Raw genomic sequence first — 27,772 nt, 5'->3', positions numbered from 1 at the left:
ATTTTTGAGACCCCACAGCCACAGAGAGAAGGGAGGGGGAACCTCAGAATGTGACTAATGAATTTCCCGCCAACATTGGCAGGCGGGAGCTGAGCCAGATTTCTTCAATTTGCGAAATTAAAAGACATGTGACGCCTCTTGCCCGAGTAGGTGCAGCGAATTCACTTTAGTTAGACTTTTCCTGAGAGCCGGTCTGTGTAGCGAGAAGGGTGCTGGGAGATGGGGGAATGGGGGATGGAGGAAGTTATAGCGGAGCCTAAGGGGCCAGTGCCGCTCTTCCTGCCAATTTTCGTCTTTAGCTCAGCGTCCGGAGCTCGCTGGTTGAGGGAACGACCCCGCGCGCGTCCGCCCGGCCGGCTCCGACACAAACACACGCACGTGCGCCCCGCCCCCGCCGCGCGCACGCGCCCCGAGGCTCCGGCGGCGGCGACGGGCGCGCGCGCGGTGCTCGCTGCCCCCACGCCGCTCCCTCCGCTGGGATCGCTGCGCCTCCGGCTCCCCGCACCGATCCGCGCCAGGCCTGCGGACCTGGAGGCAGCGACCGCGGTCGGTGGGCTCCGGCGGGCTCAGCGGTCGAGGCGGTGGCAGGGTGAGCGGAGCGGGGCCCCGCAAGTCCCCGGGAGGCGACGGTGCCGGGCGCGGGCCCCTGCGTAAGGTGGGCGCAGTGACAGGCCGGCCGGTGAGGCGCCGCCGGGAGAGGCCGCGACGGAGCTCCCAGACCGGCCATGGGCTGAGACACGTCCTCGCCGAGCAGGTGCAGTGACCGGAGGCCCCGGGGGGAGCCCGCCCCTACAGGCCCCGGGGACCCTCAACCCCGACCGGACGCGTCCTACCCAGCCCGGTGCCCTGTTGACCTTCCCTCAGCTCCTCCCAAAAGGCACACCGACCCCACCTCCAAACCCTGCCCGTGCCATCCCTGTGACTCCCAGCAGTCCCTGCCATCCTGTGCATACCTGCAGCCTGCACCCCTGTGACCCCAGCCCAGTAGGCCCTCGGGCCACCTCCTCTTCGGCCGATATTTACAGCCCACTGCCTGCACAGTGCCTGGAAACTACCCAGCATCTCTCTCTCCTAGCCCAAAGGGGGTGGAGGTAAGGGTGGGAGGGGAAGTGGGAGAGGGTGTCCTTCCCTCTGGAGTCCTTGGTGACCACAAACCCATCCTCTTTCTCTCAAGTGACCCTTCCGTACCCCACCAGAACATGCCCGGGTGACCTCCTCCCAGATCTTCCTTGTGGCCTTCCTCGCCCACTCCAGTGACACTATGCACCCCCACCGTGACCCGAGAGGCCTCTGGCTCCTGCTGCCGTCCTTGTCCCTGCTGCTTTTTGAGGTGGCCAGAGCTGGCCGAGCCGTGGTTAGCTGTCCTGCCGCCTGCTTGTGCGCCAGCAACATCCTCAGCTGCTCCAAGCAGCAGCTGCCCAATGTGCCCCATTCCTTGCCCAGTTACACAGCACTACTGGACCTCAGTCACAACAACCTGAGCCGCCTGCGGGCCGAGTGGACCCCCACGCGCCTGACCCAACTGCACTCCCTGCTGCTGAGCCACAACCACCTGAACTTCATCTCCTCTGAGGCCTTTTCCCCGGTACCCAACCTGCGCTACCTGGACCTCTCCTCCAACCAGCTGCGTACACTGGATGAGTTCCTGTTCAGTGACCTGCAAGTACTGGAGGTGCTGCTGCTCTACAATAACCACATCATGGCGGTGGACCGGTGCGCCTTCGATGACATGGCCCAGCTGCAGAAACTCTACTTGAGCCAGAACCAGATCTCTCGCTTCCCTCTGGAACTGGTCAAGGAAGGAGCCAAGCTACCCAAACTAACGCTCCTGGATCTCTCTTCTAACAAGCTGAAGAACTTGCCATTGCCTGACCTGCAGAAGCTGCCGGCCTGGATCAAGAATGGGCTGTACCTACATAACAACCCCCTGAACTGCGACTGTGAGCTCTACCAGCTGTTTTCACACTGGCAGTATCGGCAGCTGAGCTCCGTGATGGACTTTCAAGAGGATCTGTACTGCATGAACTCCAAGAAGCTGCACAATGTCTTCAACCTGAGTTTCCTCAACTGTGGCGAGTACAAGGAGCGTGCCTGGGAGGCCCACCTGGGTGACACCTTGATCATCAAGTGTGACACCAAGCAGCAAGGGATGACCAAGGTGTGGGTGACACCAAGTAATGAACGGGTGCTAGATGAGGTGACCAATGGCACAGTGAGTGTGTCTAAGGATGGCAGTCTTCTTTTCCAGCAGGTGCAGGTCGAGGACGGTGGTGTGTATACCTGCTATGCCATGGGAGAGACTTTCAATGAGACACTGTCTGTGGAATTGAAAGTGCACAATTTCACCTTGCACGGACACCATGACACCCTCAACACAGCCTATACCACCCTAGTGGGCTGTATCCTTAGTGTGGTCCTGGTCCTCATATACCTATACCTCACCCCTTGCCGCTGCTGGTGCCGGGGTGTAGAGAAGCCTTCCAGCCATCAAGGAGACAGCCTCAGCTCTTCCATGCTTAGTACCACACCCAACCATGATCCTATGGCTGGTGGGGACAAAGATGATGGTTTTGACCGGCGGGTGGCTTTCCTGGAACCTGCTGGACCTGGGCAGGGTCAAAACGGCAAGCTCAAGCCAGGCAACACCCTGCCAGTGCCTGAGGCCACAGGCAAGGGCCAACGGAGGATGTCGGATCCAGAATCAGTCAGCTCGGTCTTCTCTGATACGCCCATTGTGGTGTGAGCAGGATGGGTTGGTGGGGAGATTCTGCCCCAGGAGAGGTAATGCACCCCTGAAGGATATGAGGGGATGGAAGAGAGGGCTGGCTGCCCAAGGGAATGGATTCCTCCTGACCTCAAGGGAATTGGTCCCAGGTACAACAGAGAGCAAGACCCCAAACAGGGCGTGGCTGCCACGATTTTCAAATGGGGGTATATTAATCCTCAGGCAAATGCTACACCCGTACCCAAAGCCCTGCCAATTCTCAGTGTGGTAGAGGAAGAGAAGCATGTCTGAGTTGGATGGGAATGAGGAAGGAGTGAGGGGAAGAACAGATTCCCTAAACTTTCATGAGGTCATCCCTAGCTCCTTAAGAGAAAAACATTTAGAAAAAAAAATTTTTTCTATCTCTGCCCACCCACACCTGTGATGTTGTGTGTGTTGGGGGAGCTTCCACAGGAGCCACACTGGGGAAAAGCTGTAGTATCTTCTTTGTTTAGCAAGTCAAACTTCACAGCTGGGGAAGTTGAAAACCTTTGGAAAATGAGTCAGGAAAAGGCTGAGACCTCAATCGGTAACAATTCCCCAAAGCTGTTGTAAGACTTTGCATTAAAGCCTTCCTTTTTCCTGATGTGCCCTGGGTGGATGGATCTTTGCAGGAGCCTGGCCTGCTGCCTTTTAGTTACAACAGCAATGTGGGATGTGGTATCTGTGCCTTGTCCTGGGACCAATGGCACAGAGGGTTATAGCATGAACTGAAGGGTCCATGTCACAGCATAGGTGCCAGCACGAAACTTGTAGATGGGGGGTGAATTCCAGATAGGCTAATTCCCTGGTTGGTGAAACCCTTGGTTAGTATTTGATTCCCAGCATCTGTGTGTCAGGCCAGAGTGGGGGCTGCTGAAGGCAGAGCTTTTATGGATGCCTGCCACAGACGTGGTACATGGGCCCACTTCACGATAGAAGGATGAAGGTAAATCAGCCTCTATTATGTAGCATCCAGCTGGACCTAGCTGATTCTCAATGTATGCCATCTCTTCATCCAGTCTCCTTATCAAGCTCAGGTGGGATTCTGAATTTTCCCTAATATGCTGCTCTGTAAAGGGAGGAGTCCAAGAAAGCCTGGCCCCAGCTGGCTTAGAGTAGGCTTGGCGATAGTGAAAATCCAGTATATATCTCCTCTGTGTGGACAAGGTTGCCTTGCTCCTCTCAGAGATACCACCTCTGCTGCAAAGTCAAAGCATGGGGTTTTGACATCAGAAGGGTTGGAATTGGGTGGTCTCTACCCCAGAATGGCAATTTGGAGTGCAGCTTCAAGTTCTGCCCTCTCCACAGATTCCAGGCAATCCTGAAGCAGAGATAATCAGTAGTACTAAACTTTCAGAAGGGGAGTTCTGCCACCCCATTCCTCCATCGAGAGGTCTTTGCAGTTGTGGTTGTGAGGCCAGAGGAACTTAAGAAGAATGAGCTCAACATTCCATTCCATCCAAGGTTGCAGAATACTTTGAGTATGGAGATGACCGATCCCTTTAACCTTTCCCTTTGACTACACTGCATGCCCTGTGAGTGGCTGCTCTGAGCTTTGGCGGGGGATGAGCAGGGTGAAGGTGAAAATGTTCTCTGATGTTGGTTTTTCTTAGGGTCTCTTCTCTCCCACGTTTCTAGTCCATTGGAAGTTCTCCAGATCCTCTAGATTTCTGACCTCTTTTTACATTCTAAGAGGTGTCATTTACCTGTGGGTGAGGGGCTTGGAGGGCCTGACTATTAAGCTTCCTATTATGATTGGGGAAGGGGACTCAACATCTTCCCCTTGTCTGGTCCTGGGAACTCAAGACTGCTGTCCATCCTTTATTAGTAACCTAGTTTTGTTGAGAGAGAGGTGCAGCATTTCCCTCAAGTACCTGCATGCTCATAGGTATGCATGCTTATAGGTATGCATGCACACCAGCACCTTGACTTCCACCAGGACAGTGAATCTGTAGTCCCCATTAATGATACTCTCAGAATGGTCTCCACCAATGTGCACAACTTCATGCACACAATTGTATTCCTCTTTAGGAGAGACAGTGACCATGCCAGGCTCTTCAAATACACACTCCTGTATTTTCATTTCTGAACTCCCTGAAGCTTCACCCACATCTCCATGGCACTGAATCACTTTTCTGCCCAGGCTGGAGTTAGAAGAACCATGGGTTGAAGGCCTTGGGAGAAGAGGTGGTAAGGAGCTACCTGGTTCTTTGGACTCCTCAGAAACCTCCCGTGAAGACTATATATATGAGCAATATATGAGCAATTAAGATAGAACTAGGTCATTGAAGGACTCAGAAGGAAACTGGCAAGGGGCTAAGTAGCTGTGAGCTGCTCTTCCTGTTAACTGTCCTCAGGAGAGAAAAGTTGTCTTGATTTATTCCAGAGACTCCTGAGAATTTTGTTACTGGAGCTATAGGAACTAGGACTCCCTCCTCAGACTCATCAGGAAATCTGGGAAAATCTCATCTCCATGCTGCAGTCTCCCCGCTTGGCACCATCTAGGGCTCTGAAGATCTTTAAAGTGAGCGTTAAATGAAGCAGGCCTTCTGGGGCATCGTGATGGAGCTCCTGAGGACTGGGAGGGCCGTTTTCTTCATAATTCCTACCCAGTTTAGGGAATGAGAAAAGGCCCTGTGGCTCTTAAGTCTCCTGACTATATCCACTAGTTTGGCCTTGAGTTTGAGACACCTGGTAGATGTACCTGGCTGCCCTACCAAGAGATTTGATTTGTTTCTTCCCGTGGTTTCAGGTGATAGAACCCAAAGGTAGCTTTTTAATTGGAGAATTGAATAATCAGCATATGTAAGCGCACTAGAACCCTGTGTTGAAAACTGCCAGGTGTGGGTATAAGAAAAGGCCGAGAGATCACCACCTCCTCTTACCCTACCCCACACCCATAAACCAGACATGTCTCCCAGGAAGCAGGTGTCCCTGGAGACAGAGGATGACAGGGCTCTACAATCTGTGTAATTATTATTATTATTATTATTTTGTATTTATGGGGCCCAAGAAAGGGGCCAGGAGAGGGTACACCCCAGCTGGGGAGAGCAAAGCAGATGGATCCAGTTTTCTGTGTGTTCTTACCTCTGTACTTCCTCGTAGCTCTGCTGACAAAGCAAGCAGGCCTCCCGTGTCCAAGACCCCATTCCTCCCACTTGTGTACACCTAGGCTGGCAAATCTTGGAGCCTCTGGGCTCTGAAAACTAGACAATGATCATTAAACCTGGCTTGAGTCTCTGTTCTGGCACAATCTGACTGGTTTATTTTTTCAGCCTGTGGGTGGGGTTCACTGTACCTCAGAAGGGTGTGTCCTATCTAGGAAGAAAATCTTTAAGTGCTATTGTACGGACATGGGTGAAATACACATCTAGGCATTAAGATGGACCGGGGTCAGCAAACATTTTCCCTAACGAGCCAGATAGTAAATATTTTAGGCTCTGCAGACCACACAGTCTCTGTTACAACTCAGCTGTGCTGCTATAGCTTGAGTGTAGCCACAGACAGGACAAAAATGAATGACTGTGGCTGTGGTCCAAAAAAGATTTGACTTATGGACATTGAAATTTGAATTTCATATTTTAACATGCCTTTTGAGTTTTTCCAAGCATTAAAAAATATATAAACTAGGCCGGGCGCGGTGGCTCACGCCTGTAATCCCAGCACTTTGGGAGGCCGAGACAGGTGGATCACAAGGTCAGGAGATCGAGACCATCTTGGCTAACACGGTGAAACCCCGTCTCCACTAAAAATACAAAAAATTAGCCGGGTGTGGTGGTGGGCGCCTGTAGTCCCAGCTACGCAGGAGGCTGAGGCAGGAGAATGGGGTGAACCCGGGAGGTGGAGCTTGCAGTTAGCCAAGATAGCGCCACTGCACTCCAGCCTGGGCAACAGAGCAAGACTCCATCTCAAAAAAAAAAAATGTTATATATATATATATATATATATATAAACTACTATTAGCTCACAGGCCACATAAAACCAGGCAGTGGGCTGGTTTGACCAACAGACCATACTTTGCTGACCCCTAAGATTCTCAAATGTCACTGAAGCTTTAGAGTTTAGAAATCCCATGACTTGGCGCTCGCTGAGGCTTGTAGATAATGAAGTCTTCCTGGATCCCTAGGGCAGAGGGTTGCCTCCCTGCCGAGTTCTCTTAAAAGTCTGGATCAAGCCTACTGACCATACCATGGAAAAAATGCTTGGATTGGGTTTTAAAAAATGGTGGGCAGCAGCTCACTTTCACAGAATTTTATTATCAGTATTTTCATGTTGTAAATGGTAGCCATCTTAGGCTAAAAGTATATTCACCTAATGGGCAGGTTAATCTTCCTTGACAGTTTAGTGTGTCCTAGGCATTGCGTGGAACAGAAAAATGCAGTCCCTACGTTTTGGTACAGATTCAGCCTACCAGAAATTGGACTGGACTCTAAAACTCTAACCATGCTGATTCTTTGGCTCCTCTCTTGGTGATTCTAGAAGGGGGCTGTCGTGGCAGATTCCAAAGAGGGAGAGGAAATGATACCAGGAAAAAAATTAAAAGAATGCGAATTTGAATACTTACCTAAAGTCTTGACCGAAGGGCAGCCCTCCTCTATTTGGAAAGTTGTTTTTCACTTCAGGAGGAACAACCAAGGTGACGAGGGGTGGAGCTACTGCACAACCAGCCACATCAGACAAGTCAACCTTGGCAGTCAGTGAAATGACAGCTGTTGATGTCAGAGCACTCCCATACTCTGCATTTATATAGTTTTTCATCTGCAAAGCAGTTTTTCTATGGCTGACAATTTGGCTGACAGGATGAAGCTGATAAGGAGAGCAAGTCTGATGAGGACTACTTGGAGTTTGGAGTTCTCTCTTCTGTTTTGGCCTGTGCCAAGCCCAAGGAAGTCCATGGCTGCATCTCTTCAACACCCCCCACCCACCCACCACCCACATCCTCACCACCTCCCCCAAACCACAAGAAGTTCCTTAGATTCTGGCCAAGATGTGCAATTTTGTCTGCCATGCCTTGCAGCACTTACCCTGGCTCCTCTTAGGTAGCACTTGCGGGGAGGGAGGAGGCTAATATGACAGTTTTCTTTGAGAATAGGTAAGAGTTCAGTGCATTGGTTAACCTGGCCTCTCTTCCCCCCAGTCTCTCAACTCCTTCCCTTTCTGCATGCACTTCTTGCACCACTTATCTTGTATCTCCCAGGAAACCAGTGGGGAAGCTTCACTTTCTCCACCCACATAGCAGAAAAGGCTCAGGCCCCTGCAGTGGGACGGTTGGCTTTTCTGGTCTAGTCACAGTCAGCCTGTGCTGAATGCTTCCTCTCCTGGGGCTTGAGAGAGGAAGGCTAAAGCAGCTGCCAGTCAAGCCCCTTCATCAGGCTTCTACACTCTTAGGTGGAAAATGCAAAATGGTGAAGACACTTAGACCTGCCCTGACGCCTCCAATCTAGTCAGCTTGTTTACTCTCCCTGGTTGGAACCATGGCCTGAGAGAACCAACCTGCAGTGAGCCAGGACGTGGAGCCCTGCAGTGGGACTTCTGGATGCCCTTTGGCACTGGCATACATTAGGCAGGAGTCATTGCCTCCAAGGCTGGTGTATGCGTGCATGTGCGCACACATACAGGTTGGCAAGTACTGGAGTTGGATTGTACTTTGTGCTGCATTTCCCTTACCTCCCACTGCTCCCTCACTTGGTCATAGTTTGCTTTTGGGGGGCCTGAGCAGAACTGAGCATCCTTAGAAAGCACCATGAGATAACTGGGTATCTGCTTTAAAGATAGGGGTGCTAGGGGGCCACTCATGTATACTCAGTGAGACAGAGTTGGCTCCTCAGATGCCACTGAATAGCCTGAAGTCGTTCCTTAATCTGCTTCCAACAGAGGTTAAAAACTCATCTGGGAAATCCTAGCAATAGCAGGATTATAAACTGAGATTGTTATTCTGTGATGCATCTGGTGACTAGCTGAGTCTCCTGAGTGGGTGGGTAGGGGGAAGGTCCCCTCACTGGAGGTAATTTCTGCCTACATGAAGGGGTTAAGCCCAGCGCCATGCTGGAGACGGGCTACTTCAAACCACCCTCCAGGGCAGTTCTGCCTTTCAGCTTGTCGTCTTTGTGCAGTGCTGGTGAGAACTGCTGAGGCTCTGCACACAATGCCTGACTAGTGTTTCATTCCTGGATCCCAGGACAGAAAAAGCAATTAAGATAAAAAACGAATATTCAAGCCTCTGCACTGCTGTTTTGCTGTTCCTGCTTCTTTGCATCCACTCCAGGCAGACTGCTGCTGCTCTCAGACAAATGGAATGGAAAGTATTCTTCCCCAATTTAAAACTTAAACAGAACTGCTTTCAGTGTGTGTGTGTGCGTGTGTGTGTGTGTGTATGTGAATGCCAATAAAGCACTTGGAGGAGGAGGGGACTGATCCTATTCCACGAGCCTGAAATGGGGAAAGGGAAACCAGGCTGTGGACCCTGGGAAGCCAGGGGTCCCTGCTCTGCATCTCCAATGCCTGAGGCAGGTGTTGCTCATTCTGTGGCTTCGGTAAACAGAGGGTCTGTGGCGATGCTGTTTGCTCCAGTTGCTCCTCCCTTCCTAGCTTGTCTGCTCCACTTTTCCCTCAGAAGGGCAGAATTAGGAGAGATTTAGATAGACTTGTGACCTGCAGCTCCCTACGAAGACCAGCTCCAGGAACTTCAGGCTGGACCTAGGGAGGAATTGTACTGACTCCGAGATCTGCAGTCTGCCCTGTGATTTGGGAACACCAGGTAGGCAGCACTTACGGCAAACTTCACTAGTCATGGCCGTGGTGGCATTTCTGGCAGGAGTTGGTAAGAGCTGACCTTGCATCTGGAAGGAAGAAATGTGTCCATGTTTTCTTATGATGGCCAGAACAACTCTCTGAGACTTAGATCCCCTGTCATTATCCATAACTGTTTATTGCCTAAGAAGCATAAAGCCCAAAGCCTGGCTCAGTGAAAGAGAAGGACAAGAACATAATAATACCACCTGTTTACATGTGTTTAATGCTTTGAATTTTCCAATTCCTATTAACATTCATTCTCTCATCAAACCCTCACAACATCCCTGTGAGGTAGGTCAGGCAATAAGTGGTTTGCCCACAGCCACACCAGTGATAGGGACGGAGTAAACCCATACTGCAGGTTTCCCAGCCCCCAAGCTGATGCACCTTTCATTTCATGTTACACAGGATCTTTGTGCCAACCAGACACAGGAGCATCAAGAGCACTACCAGAAGCCTCCCTGCTCTCTGAGCTTGCAGAGGGGACCCAGAAATGCTGGGCTTGAGGCATCAAGACCAGGGGTGCCCCCTGTAGGCCAAGCCAGGTAAACAGAAGGAAGGGCAGGAGTACTGGAAGTTCAGGCTCAACAGCCACCCCTGCCACCACCATAGGTCTCAGCCTAGCATACACTGTGTTCCCTACATATCTTGACCTTTGTCAGGTGCAAGTCTTATTAGTTTACTGAGAGGACTCAGTGCCCACTCCCAGACGAGAAGTCACTGCAAGGCGTGGCTAGCAGCAAGATTCCTGACTTCCTTCCCACAGTGCCTTCCCATTCTGTTACACTCTGCAGCCCAGGAAGGAGGGGGAAGGTGAGGGCTGACTGACTCAGCCTGCAAGTGCTTAGAGATCTGAAGCTGAAAGGCCCCAGCACCATTCAGCTAATGATTATTATTAACTCTGAACAGGCTTTAGCACAGCGGCCAGCTGGCTTAGGGAGGATGCCTGAATCTCCCACAGTGAGGTTTTCAAAACAAGACCTGGCTAGGCACGGTGGCTCACGCCTGTAATCACAGCACTTTGGGAGGCCGAGGCGGGCAGATCACGAGGTCAAGAGATCCTGGCCAACATGGTGAAACCCCATCTCTACTAAAAATACAAAAATTAGCTGGATATGGTGGCACGTGCCTGTAGTCCCAGCTACTCGGGAGGCTGAGGCAGGAGAATCGCTTGAACCTGGGAGGCAGAGGTTGCAGTGAGCCAAGATTCTGCCACTGCACTCCAGCCTGGCGGCAGAGTGAGACTCCGTCTTAAAAAAAACAAAAACCAAAAAAACCAGACCTACAGCAGCCATGCACGGGGGTGGAAGGGTGGGACGATGAGAAAGAAGGGATGGGCCAGTGAGTGCGGAAGGGCAGCCTGCCTTGTGAAAGGGTGGGGAGAGAGGAGGCCCAGGCTGGCAAGTGGTAACAGCCTACCACTTAAGAGCCAAGAAGGTGAGGCTGGAGGACTTCCCCAGATACAGAGCTGCTCCCATTCCATACCAACCCCAGCCATGATGGGGCTCAGAGGAGGGGTGGTTACAGAAAAGACGGGGGCTTGGGAGGGGTATCTGAACCCAGAAGGGTAATCTCATTTCCATTCAGATTTGGATACAGAAGCCATCTATATTTCTAATGTCCTCAAGGTTGAATCTGAATATAATCAAATTTGGAATATAATCAAATTTGGAATATAATCAAATTTGGAATCAGGACTTAGCTTGATATGAAAATTTGTGCAAATGACACGCAAATTTTTAAAATCTAAGCACCCTGCCCTGGCTTTTTTTTTTTTTTTAAAAAAAGGCAAAACAGGCTGACCACTAGCAGCTTTCCCTAGCCAGGGAGCAAGGACAAAAGGGCAACCATGTGCTTCTCCTCCAAGGCGTTTGCTTCCTTGCTGAGGAGCCAAGTGAATACCCCAGACATGAGCAGAATAAGGGAGGTGCGGGGAACAGAGGATGGCGGAGGAGGGAACACACAAGCAGGAGCCCATGCAGCTGGGAGCCACTGAGATCCCAGCTGGAGGAAGAGTGCCCTGGCACTGAGGTCTAATGGCTGTCCAGCTGCTGCCCCAGGATGTGAGGGCAGGTGGTGATGGAGGGAGAAATGGAAAAGAGGGGGAGGGAAGTCCCTCCACAATCCGGCCTGCCAGGATGAAGGGCTCCTCCTGGTGACCTATTCCCTACACTGCAGTCAGACCAGGCTAAGCAGGAGACCACCAGTGCCCTCCTCTCTGCTCTGTGCCCCTGCCCTCCAGGCCTGCTGGTCAGAAAGGCGACAGCTGGGGCCCCTTCCTCCTGCAGAATATAAATGACTCCCCCTTCCTCCCAGGGCTGGGAATAGACATCAGATGGCACAGCCCACGCAAACTGCCGGCTGTCAGCACGCCTGCCCGCCCGCCCACCAGCCCCCGCACCACCTGGGAGGAGGCAGCACCTCAGGCAGGCTCAGGCTTTACGGCATTGCCTGCTTGCTCTTAGAGCAAGCTGGTGAACTTTGCCTGGCCCTCCTACCCTGCGGCAGGTAGAAGGAGCCTCTCAGCACTGGCTGTGATGAGGAAAGAGGAGATGCAGTCCCTGGATCAAAATCACCGCAGGTGAAATTCTCCATGCAGCCCCAGTAACCGTTTCTTCTGAGTTCACACCACACTGGAGAGTTTGAGAGGAGGGAGGACAATGAAAGAGACAGGAACAATACCCCTCTGCACAGCAGGGGCCTCCTTTAGATGCTTGTCCTGGAGATGCAATCTCCCCCAGGAGGGGCATAATGAGTTACGTGGAGAGGACACTTCTGCCCTTGCTGTCCCCATTCTGTCCCCATACTATTGAATCAAACCAACCTCCTTACTTCTAAGCTACCCGGAGAGGAGGACCTGAATCTTCAGAAGACCAAGGACATCCACAACACTAACATCTAGGAACACCTGCCCCTGCTCCTGGGAACTGGAGCTCCAGCGCCTACATCCCAGGCTTCCCAGAGTTCCCTGTGAGCTATGTCGACTTGCCTCAGCAGCACTTTCCTGGCTCAGCTGTTGTCAGGCCTTGCCATGATCTAGGGAGATCCTATCTTCTCAACTGAGCCCAGACCACAGCTCAGCAGTCTAGCATCCAGTCCTCACCACCGAGGGCAGCCTGGGGAACTACTTTCAGCTGCAGCAAGGAGCGGGGTGGTCTCTGGAGGGAAGAGAGTCCAGCCCTCATTTGCCAGCTGGCACCAAACTCAGCCCCCTCTTGGACCAAAGAGCTGGGAAGAGATGACAACTGAGGAAAGCTTAGATAACAAGGGAAGAGGGGTAACCAGAGAAACTTTGTTTTCTTTGGATCAGAAAAGCCCTGCCCCACTTCCTTGGCCCTTATGAAATGCTTCAAAAAAGCTCCCAGAAGCTATGTGCTAAGGCAAGAACCTGAGCCCTAAGAAGGGCAAAGCATGAGATGCCTGGGGCTCCTTTGCCCTGAGAAGTGATTTCGGGGGAGGGAGCGCACGCAGGCCCTGCAGCCCTCAAGCCCGGATCCTGAGGTGGGCTGAAGGAAGATCTTAGCTGGGCTAGGCAGCCCAGCCAGCAGCCTTCGGCTTGGTTAAGCCAATGCCCTCCTGCTTCTCCAAAAGCTTTAAAGTGACTTTAGTGCCTTTACCGTCTTAGAGTCCAGAAGACCCTCACCTGAGTCCCTTCTTTCCACAGTGCCTGACCCCCTGTGCCCTGGCACAGGGACCAAATCAGCACAAATTTCTGAAGGGCCTCAAGGGCAGAGCTGTCCCTCCAGGGTAGTAAAGGGAGAGTAAAGAACTACCCCCTGAGTCTGCTAAGTGGTCCACGTGGTCCACAGCTGGGAGAGTGTTCTGAGACATCGACCTGACAGACGCTGTATATTAGAGAAGGAAGGGACTTAGAGATTGTTTAGAAACATTTCACAGATGAAGAAACAGTGGTCTTAAGATATGGAATGTACCTAAGGTTGTACAACAGAGCCTAAGAGGACCATATCCCATAAATAAGACCCATGGGCTCTCTCCACTACATCACACTGCTTTCTTAAAAGTAACCCAAATATCCCTGGATGCCATTCATAACTTACAGGAACCCAGTTTTTCATCAGGCACACAAGCAAGAAATGACCACCAGCACATCACTATCACCACCCAAAACTCTGTCTCTCATCAAGTAGAGGCTTCAGGATCAGGCTCTCCATCACCTTCCACTCATACCCAGTACATCTCCCCATTTTGACCCACTGAATTATTCCTCAACAATAGCAGCTTTGGTTTCTGCAGTCCCTGGACCAGCCAAGAAGTGCGAAAACCTGACCACTTCTTAAATAGATCCCTTATAGATCACCAAAGGAACCATGATGTTCAAGGCAAGCGTCCCACCTAGATTCAGCGTTCGCAGGAACTCACATTTCCATTTTCTTCCTCGGCAAGTAGGATCTGGAAATCTGGTGCATGATCACCAGGGCTGGATAGACGGGCAGTGCCAGGCACAGGTACCAGGCCGCACCTTTGATCTGGGCCTGGAACCATACTGAGTACATGCCCAGAAGCACCGTTACTGTAGCCATCAGGTAGACCACCAGTCCACATGTCAGATGGTAGAGCTTGAGGCGAGCCACCCTTGAGACCCTGGCTGCCCGGGGACAAAGGAGGCAGAGCCCACACAGTGCCTGGACAGCAGTGGCCAGCAGTGTCAGGGCTCCCACCCAGCTGTGCCAGGACACCAGATGAGGCAGCTCACTGCGGGTCCTGCTGGAGATGATGAAGCCCAGGCCCAGAGCTGCACAGAGGATGGCTAGGGTCTGCCCTGCCCAGTGGAGCCGGATCCGTGCTTTTCGGGAGCAGAAGAAGAACAGGGAGTGTTCAGGTGAGAAGAGTAGGATGGCTTCAGCCATGCAGAGGCAGAACTGTGAACATAGGAGAGAGCCAGTAAGCCTCATGTCTGGCTTGGAGGCCTGAGAAAAAGGAGGTGCTCTCATACATCCTAACAAAGAGGACAAAGGGTAAGGGTTAAATAAGTTCAACCAGGACCACCAGCCTCACAGCTCAACATTTCTGGGAACATTTGGGAATCAGCACTTGAGTGCACGTCTCCTCATTCAGGTTGACATCTCCCCATCCCAACCTCTACAATGACTCCCATTTCTTGACCAGTGGAGTAGCAAATGTTAAACTTCTTCCTGAACTTTGGGGACAAGTCGGGAGATGACCGGATAACACCTCTCCCCCCTTCTCCTTTCCGGCCCCAATGGAGAAAGAAATTATCTTCCATGCCCTCCCGCCCTTTTCAACCATCTGACAACTGCCTATGGCCCAGCCCTCCAGGTTTCCCAATCCCATAGGCTGCAGGGAAAGATGAGCCCTAGATGTTTCCTCCACCTGTCTTAGCCTTAGAAAGGCTGAGCTTTCTGAAAGCTGGGTGCTTCCCTGGGAGAATGAGGTGAGGAATACCCAAACAAATCAGATAGAAGCCTAAACTCACCGCCAAGGCCATGAATACAGGGTGCCAGGAGAAAAGACCTAAGAATCAAAGAGAACAGGCTGAGGGCTTGGTACCATTGTTCCTGCCCCTGTAGCTAGGTGGAACCCAAAGAATCTAGCCACAGGAGAAAAGTACCATCCCCAATCCTAATCGGGCACAGGAACTAAGGACAAAGTGGAGCAGCCAAGGAGCCCCAGGGTGAGCAACCAAGAGGGCCTCCTTATCCACACACATACAACAGTTTGGCCCGGGTTCCCCGTTCAGCACCTCTCAGCTGGCAGCCCAGTCCTCTGCCCCTTTTTTGTTTTTTGTTTTTTTTGGTTGTTGTTTTTTGTTTTTTTTTTGATACGGAGTCTCGCTCTGTCGCACAGGGTGGAGTGCAGTGGTGCAATCTCGGCTCACTGCAGCCTCCACCTCCCGGGTTCAAGCGATTCTCCTCCCTCAGCCTCCCAAGTAGCTGGAACTACAGGCGCGCGCCATCACGCCTGGCTAATTTTTGTATTCTTAGTAGAGACGGGGTTTCACCATGTTGGCCAGGCTGGTCTCGAACTCCTGACCTCAAGTGATCCACCCGCGTCGGCCTCCCAAAGTGCTGGGATTTCAGGCATGACCCACCGCGCCCGGCCTCCTTCACTTCTATCCTCCATCAGGGGACCTGTTTCTGAGGAAGTAGTTCGGTCTGTTCAATCGTCTGCCCTTCCCCCACAGCACCCAAAACCCCATTATTCCAGGATCCCTGGGGCCCCGCCCCACCAGGCCCTCAAAATCCCTCCACTGTTTCTGTCTCCCCTTTACTGCTGGGGTCCCTCCTCCAAGTCTCCCGGGGCTCCCAAGCGCTGCCCCTCCAGCATCTCCACTCCGCCCCCTTCCGCAACCCCGCCCCGCACACTCACTGGTTCCTGGCCGGGACAGCGCTGTCAGAAAGATGGTGAAGCCCAAAGCTACCAGGTGCGCCAAGATCCCACTGCCTCTCCGCAGCCAGCGGGTCAGTCTCGGCTCCCCAGCTGGAGCGGGAACCAGACCTACCTCCAGGGGCTGCATGGCCGTGGCCCGCGGGCCCGTACACTCCAGCTGCCCGAACACGTCTTCCGGGTTTGCGATCGCGGAGGCGGTGGCGGCTGCAGGAGAGGCTCCTCCCCGGGGACGCCGCCGGCAGTGCGGCGGAGTGGCCCACAGCGCCCTCTGGGGGCTGGGGGGGAAACGCGAGTGCCCCGGAGAGGCCCGCTCCCGCGAGAGCCCGGAGGCAGAAGGGGACCGAACAGTTCCCAGCCCACCTTCATTTGTATCTGTGTGTCTGTCTACAAGGGCCTAAATCCCAAGCAGCCTGTGGAAATTACTTTTGTGGCAAACGATTTCAGTGAAACCCCAAATCACACACTTGGTACGCTGAACCAAGACTGTGAAACAAGTGTTTGGAGCCGATTTCTAGTAGTACTGGATTTCCCTGGCTGTGCACTGTCTCCTGTCACCTCATTTTGTCTTGTTCAGGGAACAAGCTTCCTCCATGCCTAAGAGCAAGGAGAATAGGAAAGGACATCGCCAAAATATAGTGCCTTGAACCTGGTGGACCAAAGGAGGGAAATGCAAGTCTCCTCTCGCATCTGCACGGGAGTGGTCCCCAGCGAGATAAATGGAAAAACTAGGGCACTCCCAGCCCTGCCGCCTCCTCAGCAGCTGCTCAGCCCTGAGGAGCCAGGTGATCCTGAAGGACCAAGGCCTCCCACACTCCTGTGGCCTCCCACACCACCAGTTCTGCAAGTGATGATGCCTTTTCCCTTCCTGCCTCCAAAAAAGGGGTGGTTCAACCCAAGGAGGCCTCCCTGGGAAAGGTTCTACCCCTTCCTTAAAGGCAAACCCACAGGCAGGGAAGGAAGGCTGTCCAATAGAAAACAGGAATATCCCAACAGCAATGACCAACCCAGCTCAAGCTCCCTAAGTGGCTGAGAAAATGAGGCTGCAGGAACAGCTGAAGAAAAGCAGGCAATAATTCAGGGAGGGATGGATGCCTAGGGTTGCTGAAGGACCAGAAAAGGGTCACAAGCCAATTCCCAGACCCTCGGGGCAAGGATCCTAGAAAGAGCCAGAAGTGCAGCTCCCCCTCTCGAGTTTCTCTTCCCAATGGGACCATAGTCGTCTCTGGTGTCAAGACTCAGGAAGCCTTACTCATTCAGAGCCACACGCCTCATCATCCTGTCTGGAAAGACTACCCCAGTGACACAAACATTTTTCACACTATTGAAAATGACAAGATGACAATAATAATAATAATGAGCATAAGAGACTTTTGCAGGCAAGCTATGGGAGCTGGAGTCTGGCTGCCTATCATCTCAGCCTCCCAGGGTAGGGCTGGGGACAGTAAGGACACTCATTTTGTTATTTTTTTTCCTTCCTTTTCTATGTTTCTGTTTTTATATTTTCATAGCAGCAACAGAACAGGGAGACAGTCTTGAGGTATTTTAAAGAGCTTTTTTTCTTAAAAAAAAATAATATAAAGTTATAAAAAGCGGCAGCAGCCTGGGGCCCGGATCTGGAGGGGAGGAGGTGCTGGCGGCTCCGTTGCAGTGGGCAGGCACTTTCTCGTTAATGGGCTTTTGACTGCAGGAAGACAAGAGGCGAGAGAAAGGGTCAGGGTGGGGGCCTACCAGCTGTCCTACCCAGTGAACTGTGTGCACTACAGAGGCTAAAGCTTGATTTCCTTCTGCTGGCCTGGTGAGTAAAACTGAGCAAGGGGGAAGATGAATGCCAGCTCACCAGGGGCAGCCTGGGTAGTGAAGCTGGAGAACACACAGGGTTTATGATTAGGCCCACATCTAACCCAGGAGAGCACCCCCGTCCCACCTCCAGTAAGTCCCTCCTGGCAGAGATCATATGGAGAGCACATAGCACACTACACCAGGGCTCCCACCAGAAGAGGCAAATAAAACTGGCTGCAGGCTTTACTGGAAACCCTGGAGAACTTGCCTGTCACCTGCACACCTGGAGGTGGGCACATGTGCATAAGTGGACATGGGGTTGTGTGCCTGCCCTTCAAGGCCCTGATGCCCAGAGGAAAAACCAGTGAGACCAGCCCACCCACCTTGCTGCTCGGCATGTTAGGCTGTGACCCAGGGACTCAAACTCCCTTTCCTTCAGGGAACAGAGGTAGCTCCAGTACCTGGAATGAGGGTCACAGCCAATTCAGAAAGAAGTAGCCCTTTGATTATAGCAAAAGCAGGGGTGGAGGGGTGCCGCATCTCCTCAGCCCAAGGGAAAGGGTTAGGGATAGGGGAAGGTTCACCAGGCAAAAAGCTGGAGTCACTTTGCTAAGAACTGACCTACCTCTTCCTAAAGAAAACAGTCCAGGAACTCTCTCAACTTCCCCTTCCTCCCTTTCCCTGCACAAACACCAATGTAGCATCTTCTCTGTATCAGGTACCCCCTGTGTGCCCCACCCTCATCAATCTTCAGGGAGCCTGGCTGGTACCTTCAGTGTAGAGCACTTCTCCTCAAAGGCCAGGGCCGGGCCTGGCTTCTTGCGGCGCACAGAGCAGGCCACATCAGCAGGGGCACCAGCCTGACAGTGCTTGGCCTTCACTGGCCGGCAATAAGTGGCCAGGTTTTTCCGCTTCTTGGCCACCTCCTCCTCAGAGAGGCAGTTGGTTGGCAGGGCCTTGGCTGGGTGTCCAGCTGCTCCCCGGTTCTCCAGCTGAGAAGCCTTGACTGGTGTGGGGAGCTGATGAGGGGAGCCACGACAGTCCAGGGGCCCTGCCCGCTTCACTCTTGGCCCCATTGTCCCATTAAGCCCCATGCTCAGGGCTGTTTTAGTTTTGGCCGAGAGGCCCCTACAGCCAGAGGGTTTCCCTTTTCCAGTGGGCTCCAGGATGCAGGTCCGTTTAAGAGTGGTAGGGCCAGGGGATAACTTCCGCTTTCGAGAAGGGGCCTCCACCTCCACCCCGTCCTTGCCTTTGGATGACTTGCTGGCCTTGGAAGGCGGCAGCTTGCTGAAGGACGGGGATGGCGTGTTGGCAGGCAGTGGTGAGGTGATAGCCTGGCTCCCGCCCATGCACTCTGCCTGGCTACAGGCAGCCGCCACGCTGGGGGAGCCTGCAGGGTAGCTGGGGACAAGGTTGTCCTTGGTGGGGGGCATGGAGGCTGGGCAGGCAGGTCTCAGGGTTGGACCTGGAAGGCGGGGGCAGGTGCCTGTAGAGGATGGGCTCAGGGGAGCAGATAACGGGGAGTTGACAAGGTGAGCTGGAGGTTCAGCTGCCGGTGGGATCTTCCTGCAGCAAAAAGAAAGCCCCACTGTGACTGCCAAGAAACAAGACAGCTTCCCCCAACACAAGACACACTCCAGTCTCTCTGCCCCACCTAGAAATGGTCAGCAGAGCCCCAGAGTTGCTGCCATCTGCTGGGAGATGCTGGAACTGAGGGTTAGGAAGAAGACACAGGGGTGCCTGTGGAGAGGAATTAGCTAGTACCTACTAACTAGGAGGCAGCCCACTAGGAACTTCATTTTAAATCTTGGTTTGGGCATCCCCTATCCCTAGTTACCCAAAAGGTACTGGAAGTGATGGATGAAAGTCTAGATTCACCCCCAGACCACCCTTCCATGCCCTGCCTTAGCCAAACTCTAGGCTGCCAAGTTTTCCCACCTCCTTTTCATGCTACTCCCTATCTGGGGTCCTGCTGGCAAATAGCCAAGGCACACCTATGGGTATACAGGAAAGATCAGGGCTTCTGAAGCCCAAGTATGTCTGGAACCTAGGAATTTCCATTCTAGAACTTCCATTCTGGGTCCGAGAGACTTACTTCCACATGTGTGTGCTGAGGTGCCGTTCCAGCATGGAGCTGAGTGCTGAGCAGAACCGGTCCAGCCGGCGGCTAAACACATAGCATCCTGGGCTCACCAGCCGGCTCCCAAAGGTGCAGAACTAAAGGCAGAAGGAAGGTGCATGGTTGGCAGGGTCTGGGGTGCACAGACAGCATCTGCACACAGGATCTGGCCTCCTCCCCATGTTGTTGGCCAGGAGTGCTGGGCCACCCCCTCCATAGGCCCCTATTCCAGGTCCTTACCGCCTGTGGCCGTGGGGGCCGGGTTGCATAATGGCAGTCAGGGGGTGGGTGGAGGTCGTCAGATGTCCCCTCCTCCTCACTCTCTTCGCTGGAGGCCTGGGTCCCACCCCGGGGCATGGGGAAGGGGAACAGGCCTGGGTCCCCATCACCACCACAGGGGCCTTCATCATCCAATTCACTCTCGGAGGAGGCCCGGGACCTGGAAGGGCCAAAAGGGATGCCAGGGGAATGTGACTGTTGTGGGGTCAGAGTAGGGGCATCCTTGAACCTGCCGAGCTCAAAGAGCAGGGCACCAGGGCAGACACCCTGCAGGGCAATCAGAAGAGGACAGAGGGAAGGGAAGGACAGGAGGGAACGACACAGCTCACAGAGTAAGAGACAGAGAGACTGCTCCCAAGGGATTCTCTCCCCAGCCCCTTCACCTCCCAGCCCCTTCCTCCTCAGGGGATAATCTGCTGCAGATCCGCCTCCTCCAGAAAATCTTCACAGTTAAAACTGTACCCAGCTCTGGTCAGCCCAGTCAACTCGCTCAACCCCCTTCTTGCATCACATATTCCTGTGAGCCTGTCTGTGAGCTGAGCCTGTGTTTCGTGTCTGCCCCTTGTGTGACAGGCAGAGATGCATGTGTGTCTCCTTCAGCAAGTCAGGCTCTCCCTGGGGTCCGGCATAGCCTCTGCACGCGAAGGGGCCAGTGAGTGAATACACATAGGGCTGCCTTGCCCAGGAGTGTGACCCTTTCAGCTCCCCAGTGACAAGTTTCGGTCTGTTGGAGGCAGCTGGGAAAATGTTCATATCCTGAGTGTTGGATCTGGCACACTGCCGAGAGGCTGGGGTGCTGTGGTATGCCTGGTTGGAAACAGGGGAGTCTCCTGCTTCCACACCACTGTCAGGAGCCCCAGGAATACCCCCACACTCAGGGCTGAGGGAGTGCCTCTTCCAGGACACTCCCTGAGCCTGTTTCCAGGGGCCCCTGATGGCTTAGGGGCCAAGTACCCCCAGGTGAGGTAGGGGTTGGATTCTAGACGTACCTGGGCAGTGCACAGTATGGGTAGGTCTGCTTGGCACGAACAGAGAAGGTGCTGCTGGGAGCAGCCACCGCTGCTACAACCTGGACTGAGGAGGGGAGCTCCTGGGAGGGGCGCTCGAGAACTTGCTCCTTGCGCCCTGGGCTCTTCTCCTTGGGAGACTCCCCTTTGCGGGAGTTGGCCTTCAGCTCTGCCACCAGCACGTCAAAGTCCTTGGCCCGGCCCTGGACTTCCCGGCGCTGGTGTACTGAGTGGATCTAGAATACAGCAGAGTGGAGAGCTGGGGAGTAGGTATGAACTGAGAAGGGGTGAGGGACGGCAGGGTGCTTTGGCCCGGGCAAGTTGGGGGGCAGGGAGAGAGGTGGGCATATTTGCAGCTGTGTTCATGTGTCTTTGTTTCATTCCCCCATGGGGCCAAAACCCTCCTTTGGGATGGGGGAATCTGGAAACTCCCTCCTTCCCACTGTTCCCACCTTCTGCCCAGGAGGGGCATACCCATCTCCCCTTCCCTTGGGTGGGCCTAACTGCCCTCCCTTAAGCTGGACCTTCAGTAACATCGACATTCCTCTCTTTGCCCAGGGAAGGAGTGGGCAAGCCCTGTGCTGTCCTCCCTCACCGTGCAGTGGGAAGGGGGTTACCTTGCAGGTCAACAGGCGGGTACAGATCTTTTTGGTCTCTGGATTTATTACCCCACACTGCCTGTTGAGGTCGCACTCCTTCCCTGTGGGGAAAGCACTTCCAATGAACCTCAAGACCATTTCCAGGAGTTTACAGGAGGATTTGGCCGCTTCCTGCCAAGGGCCTGAGAACTGGTACTAAGGCAGAAGAGACTCCAGCCCTCAGCCTGGGGCTGTACCTTCCAGATAAACTTCTGGGCATCAACATCTCCTTGCTGGGTGTGAGAACCATCCCTATCCCAATTTCAGGTGCGCCTTTTGGGACTTCAAGCCCAAAGCAGGGCAACACACATCAAGAAACAAAAGCAGCCATGGGCATCTGGGAGGCCAGAGAAGCCAGCTGTGAGATGTGTCTGGCTGGCGCCCTGGATCTAGGTGAGAAAAGAGTGAGAAAGAACTTCACCTCCTGGGCATGGGCTCCCTCAGCCTTGATCAGGAGACACAGGATGGAGAGAAGCTTCCCAGGAAGCAAGCAGGTCAAGAGGTGACGGGGCTCCTATACCCTACAACCTGTGATGGCCAGGCCCATAAACCTGACCTCCTCCTCATCCAGCCCAAGGACAAAGCAGCCCAAAGGAGTCCCCACTCTACATTCTGGACCCCCAAGACCACAACTACTCACGAGCCATCTTCCGGTGGGTTTTAGGGGGCAGCCTGGTCCCACTGGGCTCCTTTTCAGGAGGGCTGCCTTCAGCCCAGTGACTGGACCCCTCACTGGGGATGATCTCGATGTTCTCTCTGCCAGGAGGTTCTTTAGAAGGGGGAGCCATGGGAGGTTTTCCAGGGGAGTCCTTGGTGAGGCCCCCTGGCTGGCTGAGAAAAGCAGAGGGTGGGGCCACCCTGATTCCATGTCCATCAGGCTTCGGGAGACTGGACATCTTCTCCAGATTCACCACAGGCACGAAAAGGCTACACACAGAGAGAGGGGGTTGGCTGAGGGAGGGGAGGGGAGGCGAGGCCTGGGGCCTGGACTCTAGCCCAGAGCCATCTCTTTCCCAGCCCTGGAATTTGGGTGGGCTCCAGCAGGGGTGTGAAACACGGGAAGAGGAGACCCCATCTTCCCTGGAATATATGGAAGGAAGCTGCAGACAGGACGGCTGCCTCCTGCTGTGAGGAGTATGCCTTGACCCAGGGCTGTCTGTATTGATGTCAGCCCATCCATGGGTCAGGGTCAGGGCCAGTCTTAGAAAGTTTCCAGCCTCTCCTTACCAGAGGTTGTCCTTCTGGGTCTTCTCAGGAGGCTGGTGGCCACGGCTCCGGGACCCCTGGCCCTTCTCCCTGGAGGAGGTTTTCGTGGAACCTGGGGCCCTACAAGCTGGGCCCTGCCCATTCACTACATGGCATTTCTGAGAGCTGGCAGGGGCTGGAGGTGGGGGTGGGGCCCGGCCATAAAGCTTGCTGAGGGGCCCATGTCTTCTTTCTGTCACCAGGAGGTGGAAAGAATAATCAAGGTGAGTGGTATCACCACTTCCTTCCCCAACCTAACCATGTCCATAGACTCACATGAGAGAATCTGAGTTTCCATAAATTAGATTGTAAACATGCCTCCTTCCCATTTGAATCTGAGCCTTTAGGACTCAAAATTCAAGACCCAGCTTCCTGAATGTCTTAACTCCTCCCGTAATTCCACTGGATGCTAGAATTTTGTTCAAACAATAACCCGACTCCCCACAATGCTCTGAAGCCACCCCCACAACCTTCCTATCCTCAACACCACCCTCCATTACCCTACGAGACCTCCCAACTGACCCTGTCCTCAGAGTTCCATGCTCCACCTTCCCCTGTCCCTTTATCTCCTCCCTAGGGCTCCCCTCACCGCAGTGCTTCTGGAAAGCTTGAGGCTTCACCACTTGGCTGCAGTGGTTACACACAACCAAGTAGAAGTCATCATGGGCAGGGCAGTGCCCGAAGATGGACATGTCTGCAATGACAGAAGCCCATGTCACTGGGGCTGAAGATCCCAGGGTTTCTCTGGAAGATCGGAGAGCACTCCCACCCCACACTCAGAAGGCACTTCACCTCCCCGCTGATATAACAAGCTCCATGCTGAATGCTTCCAGCTTCCAGAGTTCGATCTAAGCAGTCCCAAAGGGTATACGCTTTCAGGTGAGTGGGCAATCACCTATGATTATGATCTCCAACGACAGGTCACAGGAGCCAGAACAACCGGCCGACTCGGACCTATCAAAATGAGGGTCCCCAGACAGCTGCTTCAAGCAGCCACCTCCTTCTGTAGTGTGGTGGAAAAGTGGAGCGTGGTCCTGTCTGCCCTGGGTCCCAGCCCTAATGTGTGTCGACTCCCACCTTCTTTAATGAGGGTCATGGCATCCAACTTCTTCGTGTTTTTGCTACTCTCCTCCAGCTCAGCCCCTAGAGGAGAAACACAGCTCAGAAGGGTCAGGGCCAGTTTTAGAGAGTCTCCAGCCTCTCCTTACCAGAGACTGTTCTTCCCAGAAGACAACCCAGAGGTTGTCCCCTTTCCAGAAGCCCCAAGCAGGGCCTGCAGCTCAACAGTATGAAGCCCACACTCCGTGACAAGCTCCTGGTGCTAGGACCACTTGGGGAACCTTTCAGTGGGTCCATTCTCAAATGCCCATCTTCCTTCACCTGCTGCATCTGGACTAAGATGGCCCCACTAAGAAGAATCCATCCACCTTTCTTATGGGACCCTTCACTTCAAGGTGCAGTTTAGGGTTCCACTGCTAACTAGTTGGGTGATTGTGGGTAAGTATCATCTCTTTTCTGGGCCTGCTTCCCCATTTAAAGGGGAAACCGTCCTTAACCAATGTTTCTATAAGTCCCTGAGTCTCTTCTTGAGATTTCTCGATGGGTCCTTTCTGCTACTATGTGGCATCCCAAATAGATACTCTCCCAGGTCCCCACCCCCATGAACTCAATTTTGCTCCACCTGGGTTACCATAGCATTGTCAAAGTTACACCCAGCTTCTCAGGTCCTGCACTGATAGGATGGTCACAGAGCAGAGAAACTGCTGTCTTTGGTCCTTGAGCATCTTCAAAGTCTCCTTGGTCAGCTATGCAAGTCCCTCCCCTTCTTAGAGGGCCTTTGGGCAGGGGTTGCCCTTGTACCTCAGTTTCTGGGTTAATGACAAAAACATCTTAGCTGTGCAAAGCAGCTTTTTCCCCATCCCCCTACCTCTCTCCTCCCCCCTCCCTCCTCTACGCCCCCTCCCTGTCCCTTGGGAAAAAAAAAATCAATTCTGAGTCACCAAACCCGTCTGACTCCATTTCCGGTTCTCAATGCACCCAGACCCTGACAATGGCCCCATCTTTGCCCACCCAGCATGGGGCAGCCCCAGGGTGGCCTGGGCTCCCACTTAGGTCTGCTCTCTGATGCCCATTAACAGATATGCTCCTTTCTAGGATGAGAAGATTGTTGACAATCTTATATAATATCCAGATTATGAGGGGTCGTGGGTTAGGCACGCAAGAGACAAGGGGCAGCTCCCACTCTAAGTCCGTTAAATGCAAGTGCGGGGAATGATGGATAGAACGAAACTGGGAGTCGGATGTCTCAGAGGAGAACAAGTGTCATTAGAGACCCCTCCGTGCAGTCTCCTCCTCCACCTCTTCTCACTTGCAAACTTCTTCAGGGGCGTGATGCCTGCTGTCACCCCGAAAGGCCACGAGGCCAGGTGCTCCCTGGGGCCCAGAAGACAAAGATCAGAAGAAGGGGCTGTAGGCCCGCTCACTAAGGCACTCAGGGGCCTAGAGAAGGTGAGAGTAAGAGCAGAGAGCCAAGAGGCAGGGCAAGAGGCCTGGGAAAGGACAGTGGGTTGGAGGCATGGATGGATGGACCGAAGGATGGAGGGAGGGAGGATAGATGGATGGACGGACGAACTAACGCGGAGAGGGCGGGGGTCTAAAAGCACTGCAGCTGCAGGCAAATGCCGAAAAGGAGCAGGAGGTGTGGGGCAAAAGGCGAAGGAACAAGGGGGGTGAGGAAGGGGGCACAGAAGTGGGGTGCGTGGGAAACACGTGGAGGACTGTTGCGGACAGGGAAAGCTGGAGGCAGGTGCAGGAGGGTCGCGAGCTGAGGGGCAGCAGGCAAGGAGAAAGATAAAGGCAAGCCTATATGGGGGCAGGTATTAGCGACTGGCAGAGGCAGAGGTTGGCAGGGTGGGCTGCGAGCGGTGAGCAGGCGCTAGGACCCGGAGGCGCGAAGGTGACGGAGCGGGCGGGCACTAGGACCCGGCGGGTCCTTTGTTTGGGGGGCCGGGGAGCCGGACGGCGGCTCCAGTCGGCGGCTCCCCTCAGCTGGCGGGGGCCCGGAAGGGGGGAGGGGAGATAGTGATGGGGTCCCCGGACTTTAGGGTGGCTTTACTCACCGTCAGCCGCGGGCAGGTCGGCCCGCTCCACCCACGAGCTCCAGCTCTGTCCCGCGAAGTCATCGAGACTCGGCACCCGCCGCTCCAGAGCGGCCATTGCTGCCGCCGCGCGTTCACGCACCGCCATCACCGCCGCGGACGCGCGCCCGCCCTGGCGCCGCCGCCGCGCGGCCCCCTCCCCCTCGCCCCGTCGCGGGCACGCCTCCCCTCCTCCCCACCTGCCTTTCCAGCGCAGTCTTTGCGCAAGCGCAACACAGGTTGCCTGTTCCCCGCGCCCCCCCCCCCCCCACCCACTCACAGCCTTCTGGGAAGTGTAGTCTTGGAGCGGATGCTATTGCCTACCGAGCTTGCAGCAAGAGTCCCTCCGAAATGCACAATTGCAGGGGGAAAAGAGAAGACCAAAGCTCCAGGACCTCCTCTTCTAACCCTTATGCACACATTATTTGTGCTACCAGTCCACTCTCCCAAGCTCACTGCATCTCTCCCCAGCCCCAAACCTCTCTGCCCAGACGCCCCTCTAAGCCGTGCGTCCGCCAGCTGGCTGGCGCCCCTTCCCGGGCTGGCGGCCACGAAGCGACTCCGCTCCCCTGTAGATCGAATAGGGTAGGTGCAGGGAGGTGGGCGCTGTGAATCAGAAGGGCAAGGGGAGGGAGTCTGTAGGAGGTGCTGAAGGACACAGGGGTGGTGTGGGGGAGGGCCTCGGCTCCCGTGTCGTGCCTCCTCTGTGGGAAACCCACGCTGCCCTGATGCAGAGCAGAGGGTTGGCGTGGCGTTGTCTGGATTTGAGAGGACCTGGCCAAGCTGACCAAGATCACCTGTCATGATGACAGGATGACAGAAGGCTGTCTCCGAGCCAGAGCCAGCCCCAGAACTGGGGTGGCCCCGAGGCAGCTGGTGTTTGCAGCATCTCTGCTGATCTGTCTCTCTTCTCTTGAGAACTGCGATCGATACCCTGTACAGCCTCTTCCCAAACCCTGGCTGGACCCTGACTCCATCCATCACTTTGCCTTCTTTTTCTAATGAATACTTTCTCTGCTGGAAGGGCTGCTTCTGAAGCCTCGGCATAGGGAGATTTCTCATCAGAGCTGTCATCTTCCTTGCTAAGGTCTGGAAAGTACCTTAATCATCCATTTCTTTCATCTTCTCAGCTGATAACATTTCTTCCCACCCTCACACAATCAGACAAAAGTCTGCCTACTCCATTTCCCGCCCCCCCCCCGCCGCCATCGCATTAAAAAAGTAATACTAATCCTTTTTCCTCCTCAACCTCTCACACCTCACCCCCGACGCTTGACCCTTTAGCTAAGGGGAAAACAAGTTGGGGAGCAAGACCTCAGATTTTCTTCTCCTTTTCATCCAGGGAAGGTGTAAGTACTTCAAGAATAATCTCTGAGGGCAGGGAATCTCAACCTGAGACCCACAGATGATCCCTAGGGCATCCAGGAATCAGGTAAAAATTAAATGTTCAATTGTACCCAAGGTATTTTTCTAGGGGATGTAAATGTAGTGTGTGACTCTCTGAAGAGGGATAGAGGTGCAAGTTTGTTCAACAAGAAGCTGATAGTTAAGAAAGTGAAGCATATGGCCCTCAACTCCTGACAGGAAGCCTGTTTGGGTCACAGATGGTAGGAGAACAAATGGAAACAGCTTTGTGGAAGCCACTATCTCTCACCTTTTGA

The 27,772-nt window shown here is 53.8% G+C and overlaps 3 protein-coding genes across 21 annotated transcripts, besides 12 other annotated features; 1 reads left to right on the top strand and 2 right to left on the bottom strand.

The window, feature by feature from the left end:
• Nucleotides 444–563: a silencer, noted in NCBI's record as "silent region_1155". NCBI's record gives its function as "represses an Ori minimal core promoter by ATAC-STARR-seq in GM12878 lymphoblastoid cells {active_cell/tissue: GM12878}" and the evidence as "EXISTENCE:reporter gene assay evidence [ECO:0000049][PMID:35858748]".
• Nucleotides 447–5,996, top strand: AMIGO1 (adhesion molecule with Ig like domain 1). 2 transcript variants are annotated; one of them, XM_011541812.3, is made up of 2 exons: nucleotides 447–754; nucleotides 1,197–5,996. In XM_011541812.3, the coding sequence occupies exon 2, from the start codon at nucleotides 1,262–1,264 to the stop codon at nucleotides 2,741–2,743; it is 1,482 nt and encodes a 493-aa protein (XP_011540114.1). In that variant the 5' UTR covers nucleotides 447–754; nucleotides 1,197–1,261; the 3' UTR covers nucleotides 2,744–5,996. The 2 variants fall into 2 exon arrangements, with proteins under 2 accessions (XP_011540114.1, NP_065754.2); NM_020703.4 differs by having other exon boundaries at nucleotides 1,175–5,996.
• Nucleotides 624–773: a silencer, noted in NCBI's record as "silent region_1154". NCBI's record gives its function as "represses an Ori minimal core promoter by ATAC-STARR-seq in GM12878 lymphoblastoid cells {active_cell/tissue: GM12878}" and the evidence as "EXISTENCE:reporter gene assay evidence [ECO:0000049][PMID:35858748]".
• Nucleotides 784–843: a silencer, noted in NCBI's record as "silent region_1153". NCBI's record gives its function as "represses an Ori minimal core promoter by ATAC-STARR-seq in GM12878 lymphoblastoid cells {active_cell/tissue: GM12878}" and the evidence as "EXISTENCE:reporter gene assay evidence [ECO:0000049][PMID:35858748]".
• A 3,742-nt stretch (nucleotides 5,997–9,738) lies between the features above and the next one.
• On the bottom strand, nucleotides 9,739–16,080 carry CYB561D1 (cytochrome b561 family member D1). 5 transcript variants are annotated; one of them, NM_001134404.2, is made up of 4 exons: nucleotides 15,887–16,080; nucleotides 15,551–15,654; nucleotides 14,994–15,031; nucleotides 9,739–14,495 (listed from the first exon to the last, which is right to left on the bottom strand). In NM_001134404.2, exons 1-4 carry the CDS (start codon nucleotides 16,032–16,034, stop codon nucleotides 14,399–14,401), a joined length of 387 nt encoding a protein of 128 aa, NP_001127876.1. In that variant the 5' UTR covers nucleotides 16,035–16,080; the 3' UTR covers nucleotides 9,739–14,398. The 5 variants fall into 5 exon arrangements, with proteins under 5 accessions (NP_001127876.1, NP_001127875.1, NP_001127872.1 ...); NM_001134403.2 differs by having other exon boundaries at nucleotides 9,739–14,418; NM_001134400.2 differs by lacking the exon at nucleotides 14,994–15,031 and having other exon boundaries at nucleotides 9,739–14,418.
• Nucleotides 10,186–10,685: an enhancer, noted in NCBI's record as "H3K4me1 hESC enhancer chr1:110042111-110042610 (GRCh37/hg19 assembly coordinates)". NCBI's record gives its function as "activates a minimal SCP1, AML or CMV promoter by ChIP-STARR-seq in primed H9 embryonic stem cells {active_cell/tissue: H9 hESC(primed)}" and the evidence as "EXISTENCE:reporter gene assay evidence [ECO:0000049][PMID:30033119]".
• Nucleotides 11,533–11,827: a silencer, noted in NCBI's record as "tiled region #8825; K562 Repressive non-DNase unmatched - State 14:Gen5'". NCBI's record gives its function as "represses a minimal TATA promoter and a strong SV40 promoter by Sharpr-MPRA in K562 cells {active_cell/tissue: K562}" and the evidence as "EXISTENCE:reporter gene assay evidence [ECO:0000049][PMID:27701403]".
• Nucleotides 15,440–15,940: an enhancer, noted in NCBI's record as "H3K4me1 hESC enhancer chr1:110036856-110037356 (GRCh37/hg19 assembly coordinates)". NCBI's record gives its function as "activates a minimal SCP1, AML or CMV promoter by ChIP-STARR-seq in primed H9 embryonic stem cells {active_cell/tissue: H9 hESC(primed)}" and the evidence as "EXISTENCE:reporter gene assay evidence [ECO:0000049][PMID:30033119]".
• Nucleotides 15,930–16,009: an enhancer, noted in NCBI's record as "active region_1441". NCBI's record gives its function as "activates an Ori minimal core promoter by ATAC-STARR-seq in GM12878 lymphoblastoid cells {active_cell/tissue: GM12878}" and the evidence as "EXISTENCE:reporter gene assay evidence [ECO:0000049][PMID:35858748]".
• Nucleotides 16,080–16,309: a silencer, noted in NCBI's record as "silent region_1152". NCBI's record gives its function as "represses an Ori minimal core promoter by ATAC-STARR-seq in GM12878 lymphoblastoid cells {active_cell/tissue: GM12878}" and the evidence as "EXISTENCE:reporter gene assay evidence [ECO:0000049][PMID:35858748]".
• ATXN7L2 (ataxin 7 like 2) lies at nucleotides 17,370–26,269 on the bottom strand. Of its 14 annotated transcripts, none has more exons than XM_047444943.1 (13): nucleotides 26,094–26,269; nucleotides 25,343–25,407; nucleotides 24,052–24,842; nucleotides 23,564–23,668; nucleotides 22,957–23,167; nucleotides 22,370–22,656; nucleotides 21,709–21,791; nucleotides 21,074–21,327; nucleotides 20,046–20,244; nucleotides 19,782–19,903; nucleotides 18,457–19,252; nucleotides 18,070–18,147; nucleotides 17,370–17,588 (listed from the first exon to the last, which is right to left on the bottom strand). In XM_047444943.1, exons 3-12 carry the CDS (start codon nucleotides 24,068–24,070, stop codon nucleotides 18,106–18,108), a joined length of 2,118 nt encoding a protein of 705 aa, XP_047300899.1. In that variant the 5' UTR covers nucleotides 24,071–24,842; nucleotides 25,343–25,407; nucleotides 26,094–26,269; the 3' UTR covers nucleotides 17,370–17,588; nucleotides 18,070–18,105. The 14 variants fall into 14 exon arrangements, with proteins under 14 accessions (XP_047300899.1, XP_016855756.1, XP_047300918.1 ...); XM_017000267.3 differs by lacking the exon at nucleotides 26,094–26,269 and having other exon boundaries at nucleotides 24,052–24,117; nucleotides 24,656–24,842; nucleotides 25,343–26,043; XM_047444962.1 differs by lacking the exon at nucleotides 26,094–26,269 and having other exon boundaries at nucleotides 24,052–24,117; nucleotides 24,665–24,842; nucleotides 25,343–26,043.
• Nucleotides 19,268–19,317: a silencer, noted in NCBI's record as "silent region_1151". NCBI's record gives its function as "represses an Ori minimal core promoter by ATAC-STARR-seq in GM12878 lymphoblastoid cells {active_cell/tissue: GM12878}" and the evidence as "EXISTENCE:reporter gene assay evidence [ECO:0000049][PMID:35858748]".
• Nucleotides 25,560–26,179: an enhancer, noted in NCBI's record as "H3K27ac-H3K4me1 hESC enhancer chr1:110026617-110027236 (GRCh37/hg19 assembly coordinates)". NCBI's record gives its function as "activates a minimal SCP1, AML or CMV promoter by ChIP-STARR-seq in primed H9 embryonic stem cells {active_cell/tissue: H9 hESC(primed)}" and the evidence as "EXISTENCE:reporter gene assay evidence [ECO:0000049][PMID:30033119]".
• Nucleotides 26,180–26,797: an enhancer, noted in NCBI's record as "H3K27ac-H3K4me1 hESC enhancer chr1:110025999-110026616 (GRCh37/hg19 assembly coordinates)". NCBI's record gives its function as "activates a minimal SCP1, AML or CMV promoter by ChIP-STARR-seq in primed H9 embryonic stem cells {active_cell/tissue: H9 hESC(primed)}" and the evidence as "EXISTENCE:reporter gene assay evidence [ECO:0000049][PMID:30033119]".
• Nucleotides 26,197–26,366: a silencer, noted in NCBI's record as "silent region_1150". NCBI's record gives its function as "represses an Ori minimal core promoter by ATAC-STARR-seq in GM12878 lymphoblastoid cells {active_cell/tissue: GM12878}" and the evidence as "EXISTENCE:reporter gene assay evidence [ECO:0000049][PMID:35858748]".

This window comes from Homo sapiens, chromosome 1 (genome assembly GCF_000001405.40).
Source record: "Homo sapiens chromosome 1, GRCh38.p14 Primary Assembly".
Classification (NCBI taxonomy): domain Eukaryota; kingdom Metazoa; phylum Chordata; class Mammalia; order Primates; family Hominidae; genus Homo; species Homo sapiens.
The sequence above is the reverse complement of the archived record's forward strand: the minus strand, read 5'-3'. Positions and strand labels throughout refer to the sequence as shown.

Coding starts and splice junctions, on each gene's coding strand:
- CYB561D1 (NM_001134400.2), bottom strand. CDS start 16,034: ATGCAGCCCCTGGAGGTAGGTCTGGTTCCCGCTCCAGCTGGGGAGCCG. Junction 15,655..15,886: donor GCTGTCCCGGCCAGGAACCA/GTGAGTGTGCGG, acceptor CTACTTCCTCAG/AAACAGGTCCCCTGATGGAG. Junction 14,419..15,550: donor ACGCGGGTGGATCACTTGAG/GTCAGGAGTTCG, acceptor CTATGTTCACAG/TTCTGCCTCTGCATGGCTGA.
- ATXN7L2 (NM_001350174.1), bottom strand. CDS start 26,220: ATGGCGGTGCGTGAACGCGCGGCGGCAGCAATGGCCGCTCTGGAGCGG. Junction 21,792..22,369: donor AACCCACCGGAAGATGGCTC/GTGAGTAGTTGT, acceptor CTTTCCCCACAG/GGAAGGAGTGCGACCTCAAC. Junction 21,328..21,708: donor CCCGCCTGTTGACCTGCAAG/GTAACCCCCTTC, acceptor GCTGTATTCTAG/ATCCACTCAGTACACCAGCG.
- AMIGO1 (XM_011541812.3), top strand. CDS start 1,262: ATGCACCCCCACCGTGACCCGAGAGGCCTCTGGCTCCTGCTGCCGTCC.